The sequence below is a fragment of the Homo sapiens genome, chromosome 1 (genome assembly GCF_000001405.40).
Source record: "Homo sapiens chromosome 1, GRCh38.p14 Primary Assembly".
Lineage (NCBI taxonomy): Eukaryota > Metazoa > Chordata > Mammalia > Primates > Hominidae > Homo > Homo sapiens.
Genome location: NC_000001.11, coordinates 121699283 through 121708149, shown reverse-complemented (window position 1 = coordinate 121708149; position 8867 = coordinate 121699283). Strand labels below are relative to the sequence as shown.

Here is an 8867-nt window from a genome sequence, read left to right as displayed (position 1 = left end):
GAGGTGAACCTTCCCTTGTGAGTTCAGGTTGAAACGCTCCTTTCGTAGCATCTGCAAGTGGAGATTTGGAACGCTATGAGGCCTACGGTAGTAAAGGAAACAGCTTCATGTAAAAACTGGACAGAAGCATTCTCAGAAAATACTTTGGGATGATTGAGTTCAACTCACAGAGCTGAACATTCCTTTGGGTGGAGCAGTTTTGAAACACACTTTTTGTAGACTCTGCAGGTGGATATTTGGACCTCTCTGAGGATTTCGTTGGAAACGGGATAACGTCGCCTAACTAAACAGAAGCTTTCGCAGAAATATCCTTCTGAGGTTGGCATTCAAAGTCCAGAGCTAAGCCTTCCTTTGGTAGTTCACGTTTGAAACACTCTTTTTGGAGGACCTGCAAGTGGATATTTGGAGCACTTTGTGGCCTTCGTTCGAAACGGCTATATCTTCACATAAAATCTAGACAGAAGCCTTCTCAGAAACTTCTCTGTGATGATTGCATGCAACTCACAGAGTTGAACATTCCTTTTGATAGAGCAGTTTTGAAACTCTCTTTTGCTAGCATCTGCAAATGGATAGGTGGAACTCTGTGAGGACTTCTTTAGAAACGGGAATATCCTCACGTAAAAAGTAAACAGAAGCATTCTCAGAAACTCCTTTGTGAGGCTTGTGTTCAACTCCCAGAGTATAACATTGCTTTTCATGGAGCAGTTTTGAAACATTCTTTTCGTAGAGCCTCCAAGTGGACATTTGGAGCCCTTTCAGGCCTGTGGTGGATAAGGAAATATATTCAAATAAAAACTAGAGAGAAGCATTGTCAGAAACTTCTTGGTGAGGATTGCATTCAACTCACGGAGCTGAGGATTCCTTTTGATACATCAGTTTGGAAACACTCTTTCGGTGGAATCTGCAAGCGGATACGTGGACCTCTTTGAACATTCTGATGGAAAAAGGATAATCTTACCATAAAAGCTAAACGGAAGCATGCTCAGGAACTTCTTTGTGATGTTTGCATTCAACTCGCAGAGTTGTACTTTCCTTTTGATAGAGCAGCTTTGAAACCCTCTCTTTCTAGCATCTGCAAGGGGACATTTGGAGGGCTTCGAGGCCTGGGGTGGAAAAGGAAATGTCTTCTCATCAAAGCTACATGGAAGCATTCTCAGAAGCTGCTTTGTGATGATTGCTTTCAAGTCACCGAGCTGAACATTCCCTTTGATGGAGCCTTTTGGAAACACACTTTTGGTAGAATCTGAAAGGGGAGATTTGGACCGCTTTGAGGCCTATGGCACGAGAGTTTATAACTGCACATAAAAACGAGACAGTAGCATTCCCAGGAAACACTTTGTGACGATTGAGTTCAACTCACGGAGCTGAACATTCCTTTGGATGGAGCAGTTTCCAAACACACTTTGTGTAGAATCTGCAAGTGGAGATTCGGACCGCTCTGAGGATTTCGTTGGATACGGGAGAGAACTCACCTACGTAAACAGAAGCATTCTCAGAACCTTCTTCGTGATGCTTGCATTCAACTCACAGTGTTGAACCTTCCTCTGACGGTTCAGGTTTGAAACACTCCTTCTGCAGAATCTGCAAGTGGAGATTTGGACCTCTTTGAGGCCTGTCGTAGTAAAGGAAAGAACTTCATCTAAAAACAAGACAGAAGCATTCTCAGAAAATTCTTTGCGATGATTGAGTTTAACTCACAGAGCTGAGCAGGTCTTTTGATGGAGCATTTTCAAAACACACGTTTTGTAGAATATGCAAGTGGATATTGGGACTTCTCTGAGAATTTCGTTGGAAACGGGATAAACCTCACATAACTGAAGAGGAACATTCTCAGAACTTCTTTGTGATGTTGACATTCAACTGACAGAGGTGAACCTTCCCTTGTGAGTTCAGGTTGAAACGCTCCTTTCGTAGCATCTGCAAGTGGAGATTTGGAACGCTTTGAGGCCTACGGTAGTAAAGGAAACAGCTTCATGTAAAAACTGGACAGAAGCATTCTCAGAAAATACTTTGGGATGATTGAGTTCAACTCACAGAGCTGAACATTCCTTTGGGTGGAGCAGTTTTGAAACACACTTTTTGTAGACTCTGCAGGTGGATATTTGGACCTCTCTGAGTATTTCGTTGGAAACGGGATAACGTCGCCTAACTAAACAGAAGCTTTCGCAGAAACATCCTTCTGACGTTGGCATTCAAAGTCCAGAGTTGAGCCTTCCTTTGGTAGTTCACGTTTGAAACACTCTTTTTGGAGGACCTGCAAGTGGATATTTGGAGCACTTTGTGGCCTTCGTTCGAAACGGCTATATCTTCACATAAAATCTAGACAGAAGCCTTCTCAGAAACTTCTCTGTGATGATTGCATGCAACTCACAGAGTTGAACATTCCTTTTGATAGAGCAGTTTTGAAACTCTCTTTTGCTAGCATCTGCAAATGGATAGGTGGAACTCTGTGAAGACTTCTTTGGAAATGGGAATATCCTCACGTAAAAAGTAAACAGAAGCATTCTCAGAAACTCCTTTGTGAGGCTTGTGTTCAACTCCCAGAGTATAACATGGCTTTTCATGGAGCAGTTTTGAAACATTCTTTTCGTAGAGCCTCCAAGTGGACATTTGGAGCCCTTTCAGGCCTGTGGTGAATAAGGAAATATCTTCACATAAAAACTAGAGAGAAGCATTGTCAGAAACTTCTTGGTGATGATTGCATTCAACTCACGGAGCTGAGGATTCCTTTGGATGCAGCAGTTTGGAAACACTCTTTCGGTGGAATCTGCAAGCGGATACGTGGACCTCTTTGAACATTCCGATGGTAAAGGGATAATCTTCCCATAAAAGCTAAACGGAAGCATGCTCAGGAACTTCTTTGTGATGTTTGCATTCAACTCGCAGAGTTTTACTTTCCTTTTGAGAGAGCAGCTTTGAAACCCTCTCTTTCTAGCATCTGCAAGGGGACATTTGGAGGGCTTCGAGGCCTGGGGTGGAAAAGGAAATGTCTTCTCATCAAAGCTACATGGAAGCATTCTCAGAAGCTGCTTTGTGATGATTGCTTTCAAGTCACCGAGCTGAACATTCCCTTTGATGGAGCCTTTTGGAAACACACTTTTGGTAGAATCTGAAAGGGGAGATTTGGACCGCTTTGAGGCCTGTGGCAGTAGAGGATAAAACTGCACATAAAAACGAGACAGTAGCATTCCCAGGAAACACTTTGTGACGATTGAGTTCAACTCACGGAGCTGAACATTCCTTTGGATGGAGCAGTTTCCAAACACACTTTGTGTAGAATCTGCAAGTGGAGATTCGGACCGCTCTGAGGATTTCGTTGGATACGGGAGAGAACTCACCTACGTAAACAGAAGCATTCTCAGAACCTTCTTCGTGATGCTTGCATTCAACTCACAGTGTTGAACCTTCCTCTGACGGTTCAGGTTTGAAACACTCCTTCTGCAGAATCTGCAAGTGGAGATTTGGACCTCTTTGAGGCCTGTCGTAGTAAAGGAAAGAACTTCATCTAAAAACAAGACAGAAGCATTCTCAGAAAATTCTTTGCGATGATTGAGTTTAACTCACAGAGCTGAGCAGGTCTTTTGATGGAGCATTTTCAAAACACACGTTTTGTAGAATATGCAAGTGGATATTGGGACTTCTCTGAGAATTTCGTTGGAAACGGGATAAACCTCACATAACTGAAGAGGAACATTCTCAGAACTTCTTTGTGATGTTGACATTCAACTGACAGAGGTGAACCTTCCCTTGTGAGTTCAGGTTGAAACGCTCCTTTCGTAGCATCTGCAAGTGGAGATTTGGAACGCTTTGAGGCCTACGGTAGTAAAGGAAACAGCTTCATGTAAAAACTGGACAGAAGCATTCTCAGAAAATACTTTGGGATGATTGAGTTCAACTCACAGAGCTGAACATTCCTTTGGGTGGAGCAGTTTTGAAACACACTTTTTGTAGACTCTGCAGGTGGATATTTGGACCTCTCTGAGGATTTCGTTGGAAACGGGATAACGTCGCCTAACTAAACAGAAGCTTTCGCAGAAACATCCTTCTGACGTTGGCATTCAAAGTCCAGAGTTGAGCCTTCCTTTGGTAGTTCACGTTTGAAACACTCTTTTTGGAGGACCTGCAAGTGGATATTTGGAGCACTTTGTGGCCTTCGTTCGAAACGGCTATATCTTCACATAAAATCTAGACAGAAGCCTTCTCAGAAACTTCTCTGTGATGATTGCATGCAACTCACAGAGTTGAACATTCCTTTTGATAGAGCAGTTTTGAAACTCTCTTTTGCTAGCATCTGCAAATGGATAGGTGGAACTCTGTGAAGACTTCTTTGGAAACGGGAATATCCTCACGTAAAAAGTAAACAGAAGCATTCTCAGAAACTCCTTTGTGAGGCTTGTGTTCAACTCCCAGAGTATAACATTGCTTTTCATGGAGCAGTTTTGAAACATTCTTTTCGTAGAGCCTCCAAGTGGACATTTGGAGCCCTTTCAGGCCTGTGGTGGATAAGGAAATATCTTCACATAAAAACTAGAGAGAAGCATTGTCAGAAACTTCTTGGTGATGATTGCATTCAACTCACGGAGCTGAGGATTCCTTTTGATGCAGCAGTTTGGAAACACTCTTTCGGTGGAATCTGCAAGCAGATACGTGGACCTCTTTGAACATTCCGATGGAAAAGGGATAATCTTCCCATAAAAGCTAAACGGAAGCATGCTCAGGAACTTCTTTGTGATGTTTGCATTCAACTCGCAGAGTTGTACTTTCCTTTTGATAGAGCAGATTTGAAACCCTCTCTTTCTAGCATCTGCAAGGGGACATTTGGAGGGCTTCGAGGCCTGGGGTGGAAAAGGAAATGTCTTCTCATCAAAGATACATGGAAGCATTCTCAGAAGCTGCTTTGTGATGATTGCTTTCAAGTCACCGAGCTGAACATTGCCTTTGATGGAGCCGTTTGGAAACACACTTTTGGTAGAATCTGAAAGGGGAGATTTGGACCGCTTTGAGGCCTATGGCAGTAGAGGATATAACTGCACATAAAAATGAGACAGTAGCATTCCCAGGAAACACTTTGTGACGATTGAGTTCAACTCACGGAGCTGAACATTCCTTTGGATGGAGCAGTTTCCAAACACACTTTGTGTAGAATCTGCAAGTGGAGATTCGGACCGCTCTGAGGATTTCGTTGGATACGGGAGAGAACTCACCTACGTAAACAGAAGCATTCTCAGAACCTTCTTCGTGATGCTTGCATTCAACTCACAGTGTTGAACCTTCCTCTGACGGTTCAGGTTTGAAACACTCCTTCTGCAGAATCTGCAAGTGGAGATTTGGACCTCTTTGAGGCCTGTCGTAGTAAAGGAAAGAACTTCATCTAAAAACAAGACAGAAGCATTCTCAGAAAATTCTTTGCGATGATTGAGTTTAACTCACAGAGCTGAGCAGGTCTTTTGATGGAGCATTTTCAAAACACACGTTTTGTAGAATATGCAAGTGGATATTGGGACTTCTCTGAGAATTTCGTTGGAAACGGGATAAACCTCACATAACTGAAGAGGAACATTCTCAGAACTTCTTTGTGATGTTGACATTCAACTGACAGAGGTGAACCTTCCCTTGTGAGTTCAGGTTGAAACGCTCCTTTCGTAGCATCTGCAAGTGGAGATTTGGAACGCTTTGAGGCCTACGGTAGTAAAGGAAACAGCTTCATGTAAAAACTGGACAGAAGCATTCTCAGAAAATACTTTGGGATGATTGAGTTCAACTCACAGAGCTGAACATTCCTTTGGGTGGAGCAGTTTTGAAACACACTTTTTGTAGACTCTGCAGGTGGATATTTGGACCTCTCTGAGGATTTCGTTGGAAACGGGATAACGTCGCCTAACTAAACAGAAGCTTTCGCAGAAACATCCTTCTGACGTTGGCATTCAAAGTCCAGAGTTGAGCCTTCCTTTGGTAGTTCACGTTTGAAACACTCTTTTTGGAGGACCTGCAAGTGGATATTTGGAGCACTTTGTGGCCTTCGTTCGAAACGGCTATATCTTCACATAAAATCTAGACAGAAGCCTTCTCAGAAACTTCTCTGTGATGATTGCATGCAACTCACAGAGTTGAACATTCCTTTTGATAGAGCAGTTTTGAAACTCTCTTTTGCTAGCATCTGCAAATGGATAGGTGGAACTCTGTGAAGACTTCTTTGGAAATGGGAATATCCTCACGTAAAAAGTAAACAGAAGCATTCTCAGAAACTCCTTTGTGAGGCTTGTGTTCAACTCCCAGAGTATAACATTGCTTTTCATGGAGCAGTTTTGAAACATTCTTTTCGTAGAGCCTCCAAGTGGACATTTGGAGCCCTTTCAGGCCTGTGGTGGATAAGGAAATATCTTCACATAACAACTAGAGAGAAGCATTGTCAGAAACTTCTTGGTGATGATTGCATTCAACTCACGGAGCTGAGGATTCCTTTGGATGCAGCAGTTTGGAAACACTCTTTCGGTGGAATCTGCAAGCGGATACGTGGACCTCTTTGAACATTCCGATGGAAAAGGGATAATCTTCCCATAAAAGCTAAACGGAAGCATGCTCAGGAACTTCTTTGTGATGTTTGCATTCAACTCGCAGAGTTGTACTATCCTTTTGATAGAGCAGCTTTGAAACCCTCTCTTTCTAGCATCTGCAAGGGGACATTTGGAGGGCTTCGAGGCCTGGGGTGGAAAAGGAAATGTCTTCTCATCAAAGATACATGGAAGCATTCTCAGAAGCTGCTTTGTGATGATAGCTTTCAAGTCACCGAGCTGAACATTCCCTTTGATGGAGCCTTTTGGAAACACACTTTTGGTAGAATCTGAAAGGGGATATTTGGACCCCTTTGAGGCCTGTGGCAGTAGAGGATAAAACTGCACATAAAAACGAGACAGTAGCATTCCTAGGAAACACTTTGTGACGATTGAGTTCAACTCACGGAGCTGAACATTCCTTTGGATGGAGCAGTTTCCAAACACACTTTGTGTAGAATCTGCAAGTGGAGATTCGGACCGCTCTGAGGATTTCGTTGGATACGGGAGAGAACTCACCTACGTAAACAGAAGCATTCTCAGAACCTTCTTCGTGATGCTTGCATTCAACTCACAGTGTTGAACCTTCCTCTGACGGTTCAGGTTTGAAACACTCCTTCTGCAGAATCTGCAAGTGGAGATTTGGACCTCTTTGAGGCCTGTCGTAGTAAAGGAAAGAACTTCATCTAAAAACAAGACAGAAGCATTCTCAGAAAATTCTTTGCGATGATTGAGTTTAACTCACAGAGCTGAGCAGGTCTTTTGATGGAGCATTTTCAAAACACACGTTTTGTAGAATATGCAAGTGGATATTGGGACTTCTCTGAGAATTTCGTTGGAAACGGGATAAACCTCACATAACTGAAGAGGAACATTCTCAGAAATTCTTTGTGATGTTGACATTCAACTGACAGAGGTGAACCTTCCCTTGTGAGTTCAGGTTGAAACACTCCTTTCGTAGCGTATGCAAGTGGAGATTTGGAACGCTTTGAGGCCTACGGTAGTAAAGGAAACAGCTTCATGTAAAAACTGGACAGAAGCATTCTCAGAAAATACTTTGGGATGATTGAGTTCAACTCACAGAGCTGAACATTCCTTTGGGTGGAGCAGTTTTGAAACACACTTTTTGTAGACTCTGCAGGTGGATATTTGGACCTCTCTGAGGATTTCGTTGGAAACGGGATAACGTCGCCTAACTAAACAGAAGCTTTCGCAGAAACATCCTTCTGACGTTGGCATTCAAAGTCCAGAGTTGAGCCTTCCTTTGGTAGTTCACGTTTGAAACACTCTTTTTGGAGGACCTGCAAGTGGATATTTGGAGCACTTTGTGGCCTTCGTTCGAAACGGCTATATCTTCACATAAAATCTAGACAGAAGCCTTCTCAGAAACTTCTCTGTGATGATTGCATGCAACTCACAGAGTTGAACATTCCTTTTGATAGAGCAGTTTTGAAACTCTCTTTTGCTAGCATCTGCAAATGGATAGGTGGAACTCTGTGAAGACTTCTTTGGAAATGGGAATATCCTCACGTAAAAAGTAAACAGAAGCATTCTCAGAAACTCCTTTGTGAGGCTTGTGTTCAACTCCCAGAGTATAACATTGCTTTTCATGGAGCAGTTTTGAAACATTCTTTTCGTAGAGCCTCCAAGTGGACATTTGGAGCCCTTTCAGGCCTGTGGTGGATAAGGAAATATCTTCACATAACAACTAGAGAGAAGCATTGTCAGAAACTTCTTGGTGATGATTGCATTCAACTCACGGAGCTGAGGATTCCTTTTGATGCAGCAGTTTGGAAACACTCTTTCGGTGGAATCTGCAAGCGGATACGTGGACCTCTTTGAACATTCCGATGGAAAAGGGATAATCTTCCCATAAAAGCTAAACGGAAGCATGCTCAGGAACTTCTTTGTGATGTTTGCATTCAACTCGCAGAGTTGTACTTTCCTTTTGATAGAGCAGCTTTGAAACCCTCTCTTTCTAGCATCTGCAAGGGGACATTTGGAGGGCTTCGAGGCCTGGGGTGGAAAAGGAAATGTCTTCTCATCAAAGATACATGGAAGCATTCTCAGAAGCTGCTTTGTGATGATAGCTTTCAAGTCACCGAGCTGAACATTCCCTTTGATGGAGCCTTTTGGAAACACACTTTTGGTAGAATCTGAAAGGGGAGATTTGGACCGCTTTGAGGCCTGTGGCAGTAGAGGATAAAACTGCACATAAAAACGAGACAGTAGCATTCCCAGGAAACACTTTGTGACGATTGAGTTCAACTCACGGAGCTGAACATTCCTTTGGATGGAGCAGTTTCCAAACACACT

General features: G+C 42.9%; 1 annotated feature.

Moving 5' to 3' along the window:
• Nucleotides 738-1239: an enhancer, noted in NCBI's record as "NANOG hESC enhancer chr1:121448709-121449210 (GRCh37/hg19 assembly coordinates)". NCBI's record gives its function as "activates a minimal SCP1, AML or CMV promoter by ChIP-STARR-seq in primed H9 embryonic stem cells {active_cell/tissue: H9 hESC(primed)}" and the evidence as "EXISTENCE:reporter gene assay evidence [ECO:0000049][PMID:30033119]".